The following is a 5182-nucleotide window of genomic DNA, read 5'->3' as shown; positions in this document are numbered from 1 at the left end:
TTTTAAGTTCTGACAACAAGAACGTTAAGTGTCTCTACTGAACTTCATAAGTTCACTGGACAGTTATTCTCTTTGCTTTTTACATACTGTTCTGATTTTTTAAAAATATTTTATTATTTTTGTGAGAAAAGTAATTTGTGTTCTCTGGGAAAAGAAAGATTAGTAGAAAGAAAACAAAGAAATGAAATCACCTGCTAGCTCACAACTCAGAAAACCACTGTTAACCTTTCATGTATTTAACAAAAACAGACAGATTCTGTAGATGATATTATAAGCTGCTTTATTTTTCCACGAATCATGACGTCTCTGCAATGCACATGTGTGAAAATCTGCTACTGAAACATAGAGCAAGCAAACACTGGCAGGTGGGTCAAAACGCTACTGGTAGCAGGAGGAACGACTAAAGCAAAGTATTACCATAAGGTTAAAACATATGGCCTGACAAATGCCTGCCAGGGACACTACACATAAGGAATGTCTTCAGTGTCCCTTCGTGGGGCCCTGCAGCCACCCCTGAATTCCCTTGGACCCCTAGGATAGAAGGGGTCCTGTAAATTTCTTTGCATCCACAAAAACGCCCCCAATTTCTGTTTGCTTTTTCTCCTTTTATCCTCCACCCTAGCCATGTTGTCAAATTCTCTTATCATGTCCTCATTGCTGAAATTCATATCATGTATGGCTTCCTTATATTGCTTGAGGTACTGAGCCAGCCCCTTGTTGGTTTTTCTTTTGGCTTTCCTGGGTATATCATCCTCAGCTGGGCGCTTTCCTGCAGCCCTTGTTTCACTTTCTGGCTCTCCCTCACTCTCTGGCTCTCTTTCACTGTCTGGCTCTCCTTCACCCTCTGCCCTTCCCCCTCTCTCTGGCTTTCCCTCTGTCTTTGATCCTCCCTGCATCTCTGACTTTCCCTTCCTCTCTGACTTTCCTTCTCCTTTTGCCTTTCCCGCACTCTCTGGCTTTTCTTTATCCTTTAACGGTTCCTCAACTCTCTTGCCCGTGTTTTCTGTGTTTCCCTCGTTTTCTAACTTCTTGTCTTCCAGAATACAAGCTACTTCTGGCTTTCCCTCGTGCGGTGGCTGTTCTTCATTGTCTATCTTTCCTTGATTCGAAGGCATTCCTTCATTTTCATTGAAGAGTTTTTCCATGTCGAGATTTCCCCTCCTTTTCCTTTCCTGGGGGATGGGTGTGGAGGGAAGAGGAGACAAAGAGGAGACATGGGAGACTGAGGGCATGGGGTGGAATGCAGGTCTGGATACTACTTGCATCTCACCCCTGGTGAGGGTTCCCCTAAGCTGACTGGGCCTCCAAGAGGGCCTTCTGCCCACCACGTAGCCCACCACTCCTCCCACACACGTGAGCCAGCTGTTCCCTGGCAGGCCCTGCCACCTTCTCTGCACTGGTTCAGCCTGGTAAGGTGTGTGTTCATGTAGGTAAGGGGATGGGCAGGGGCCCCAATTCGGCCCTGACTGTGCCCTCCACACTCTCAACCCTTGTGGGCCCCTGTCCATGCAGCCCCCTGCTTTCACGGACCTGCGGGGATTCTGGACAGGTTGCTCTTCCTTTTCAGGCCTCTCAGAGCGCTGGGAACAACAGACGCGCAGACCTGCGGACAGACAGGAGACAGGGGCAGGGGCTGCGCGCTTAGCGGGCTCACAGGGACTCGGTTCCCTTTCCTGAGTCCAGGCCCTGCTTACCCACCGTTTTCCTCCCCTACCTCCCCCGCACCCCAGCCGCCATTTCTTTCCAGGCCTCGGGCACCAAACCAGGATGCTTTCCAAACTGCGTTTGTCTCTGTGTCCCCCTTCCCCGGAGGCAACCTGCCCCAGCGCCACCTCATTTTTGCGGAGATCAAGTGTTTCCATGGGTGTAGATTGTGAGAAGGGGTTATTTCCAGAATATGTCTACGTTTCACTGTCGCACTGCGGGGTCGCTACCCCCACCCCCCATTTCCAGCACTAAAATGGATGGAGGACTCAGTGCAAGGGGGCGTCGAGAAGGCGAGCCAGGCTTGCTTCGGGGGTTCTCCCTCCACTGCCCCCGCCCCCGCGACTCCGCATCCCCCTCCTCCCCAATCTACCGGATCCCTTCTCCGCCCCCTCCCCAATCCTACTGCCAGCCCCCTCCACCCCTGTCCCAGGGTCCGCCGGCAGCGCACGCCTTCACACTGACCTGCGGGGACCCAGGACAGGCCTGTGCCTCCTGCGGCTCGCTGAAGCCCGCTCGCTGCTCCCCCGCCGCCTGGGCAGCTCAGACAGCTGATTCTGCGCGGGCGCCCGGACCCGACCGCTGGGCGGGCTGGCGGGCGGGCGCGGGGGCTGGTGCCCACGTAGGCGCCGGGCGGGTCACGTGAGCACCGCGTCACCGGAGCTCTGCCCCCGCTCTTGCCTGACACACCTCACCTTGGAGCTGGGCCCCCCTCTCTTTCCTGACATACCTCACCTTCCATCCCTGAGGGACCGGAGGCTGGGGACGGTCGGAGTCTCGGTGCGTTTGTGTAGCAAAGTGGGGTCGCGGAGAAGAGGAGGAGAGGTGGCTTTCTGACCCTAGGTGCTTTACCTGACGCAGCTCACAGCATCCTCGCAAGGCATATCTCTCTGATGCCCATTATCGCCAGGTGTGACAGCTGATCATAGAGGTACCGGACTTTGCCAAGAGCGCTCAGCCCCAGAACTCCACAGCCCACTTTCAATACCGGCTCTGCCTGACTCCAGAGCCCGGGGGGTAGTGGTGCCTGCCAGGAAGCTGAGCTGCCACCTTGAGTGGCGGTGTTCCTGGGGTTCTGTCCTGGGCCTCCTCTCTCCTCAGTCCTCAAGTTGTCTCTCCCTGTGTGATCTCATTCATTTCCAGTAAACACCGATGACTCCCAGATCTACAGCTCCAGGCTGTTCCCTTCTCCGTGTCTCATATCAGCTTTGCCAACTGTCTATTGGACATCACCGCCTGAGTGTCCCTGAGGGACCCCAAAGCCCGTGTACCCCAAATTGATTTACCAACTTCCTTCTTGCCATCTCCCTTGGTCTCTCTCCACACTTGAAACTTACCTTCCAACATTTGATCAGTTTTCATAGAGAGAGAATGTCAGACAGGTAGAAAAGAAAGCATTAAAACATTTTAAATATGAATTTCAGATGCACAAATTCATCATAGTCCTTGGTTTACAACACACCCTTATCATCGATCCCTGCTTGTCCCTCTTCCTTCCCTTTTCTTTCCCGTCCTATTATTTCCTCCCCTTCCCATCCTTTGTCTTTTTTTTCTTTCCTTTTCTTTCACATTCGTGAAGCCACCACCCACAAAAACTAAGAATCACCAATATTTTAGCTTCTACAGTATAGTGACATGTATATGTATATATACACATGTTTATTTATACACACATATATGTATAGATGTATATGTGTGTACATATGTATGTGTATGTCTTGTGTATATCTGGGCAACAACTATTTTTATTTTGATTTGCAAAATACCTTATCATGATTACAGGATTATGAATTATGTGTGTTACACAAGCAATTCTGATTATATTTCTGCTACACATCTTTCTTCATTTAGTAAAACCTTGATCTTCCTACAGTATTTTGCTCTATCAATATGTGTATTCGTCATTATCACCACATCACCAATAATTCTGTCCTCAATGTTGAATTTTTTTCCTGAATTATCGAGGCTAGGTGTTTCAATTTCATCAGTATAAACTTCCATAAAATTATTATAATTATTCAAGAATTTGATGAAAATAATATCAAATCAGTTGAAAAGAACTGATTTTCTGTTTTAATCATCTAATTATAGTGATTTTAAGCTGTCTTCAGTAACTATTTGCTAAGTTATTTTGCTAATGGAGCCAAAGTATTAACAACTATTTCTCCTCTTTTAAAACATATACACAAAAATGTGGGATTCAAAATTAGTATCATTAAATTTGAAGAAATGTCATTTTATCTAAATTAAAAGATCTGTTCACAAAATGAGAAGTCAACACAACTTTTGCATTTGCATGTAATAAATTGACACATTGTTCCTCAAGTAATTACTACCTTTGGAAGAAGATATAATGACAGTTCTCTTGATGCATAGTATATGTTGATTAAACATATTTTAAGTTAAATGTTTGTCATCCACTTTCTTAGAAAAGTAACATTACTGAACATACCATTCACTAGAGACCTTTTGTTTCTTATTGCAGAATAAAAGTATCATTCCCATCAGTAAAATAAATATAGACATATATTAACACTATAAAATCACTAAGTGATACCAACACCTGGCAGAGACACACACACAAAAAGGAAACTTCAGGCCAATATCCTTAATTAACATGGATGCAAAAATCCTCAACAAAATAGTGGCAAACTGAATACAGTAGCATGTCAAAAAATGTATCCACCATGATCAAGTAGGATCCATCTCCAGGATGCAAGTTTAGCTCAATATACACAAATCAATAAATGTGATTCATCACATAAACAGAACTAAAGACAAAAGCCACATGATCATCTCAGTAGATGCAGAAAAGGCTATGGATAAAATTCAACATCCCTTCATGTTAAAAACTCTCCATAAACTAGGTGTTGAAGGAATGTACCTCAAAATAACAAGAGCCATGTATAACAAATCCACAGCCAACATTATACTGAATGGGCAGAAGCTGGAAGCATTCCCCTTGAGAACCAGAACAAGACAAGGATGTCTCACACACTACCAGACAAAAACAATGCAAAAATGGAAGTAAAAAGTGGAGATCTGTGGTAGGCTTAATAATTGCCTTCAAAGATATCCAGGTCTTAATGCCTGGAACCTGTGAATTTTACCTTATATGGCAAAAGGGGACTTTGCAAATGTCATTAAGGATCTTGAGATAGGAAGATTACCAAGGATTATCCAGGAAGACCCTAAATGTAATAACAAGTATTCTTATAAAAGGGAAACAGAGAGAGATTTTACTACGGAAGAAGAAGGCAATGTGAAAACTGAAACAAGATTCTACACTACAGACTTAGAAGATGAAGGAAAAGGCCATGAGCCAAGAAAGGCAAGGAATGCAAACTCCAGACGATGGAAAATGTAAGAAAATAGAGTCTCTTTTGGACCTCCAGAGGAAGCAAAGCTCTGCCAATATCTTTACTTCAGCCTAGTAAAACTAATTTTGGACTTTGGACTTCCACAACTGTAAGAGAAT

At 45.5% G+C, this 5182-nt stretch overlaps 1 protein-coding gene across 1 annotated transcript; it reads right to left on the bottom strand.

Moving 5' to 3' along the window:
• Positions 264-2297, bottom strand: TCEAL2 (transcription elongation factor A like 2). Its single transcript, NM_080390.4, has 3 exons — positions 2170-2297; positions 1531-1603; positions 264-1172 (listed from the first exon to the last, which is right to left on the bottom strand). Exon 3 carries the CDS (start codon positions 1143-1145, stop codon positions 462-464), a length of 684 nt encoding a protein of 227 aa, NP_525129.1. The 5' UTR covers positions 1146-1172; positions 1531-1603; positions 2170-2297; the 3' UTR covers positions 264-461.

This window comes from Homo sapiens, chromosome X (genome assembly GCF_000001405.40).
Source record: "Homo sapiens chromosome X, GRCh38.p14 Primary Assembly".
In the NCBI taxonomy this organism is placed as follows: domain Eukaryota; kingdom Metazoa; phylum Chordata; class Mammalia; order Primates; family Hominidae; genus Homo; species Homo sapiens.
This window is presented reverse-complemented; position numbering and strand designations above follow the sequence as displayed.

Coding starts and splice junctions, on each gene's coding strand:
- TCEAL2 (NM_080390.4), bottom strand. CDS start 1,145: ATGGAAAAACTCTTCAATGAAAATGAAGGAATGCCTTCGAATCAAGGA.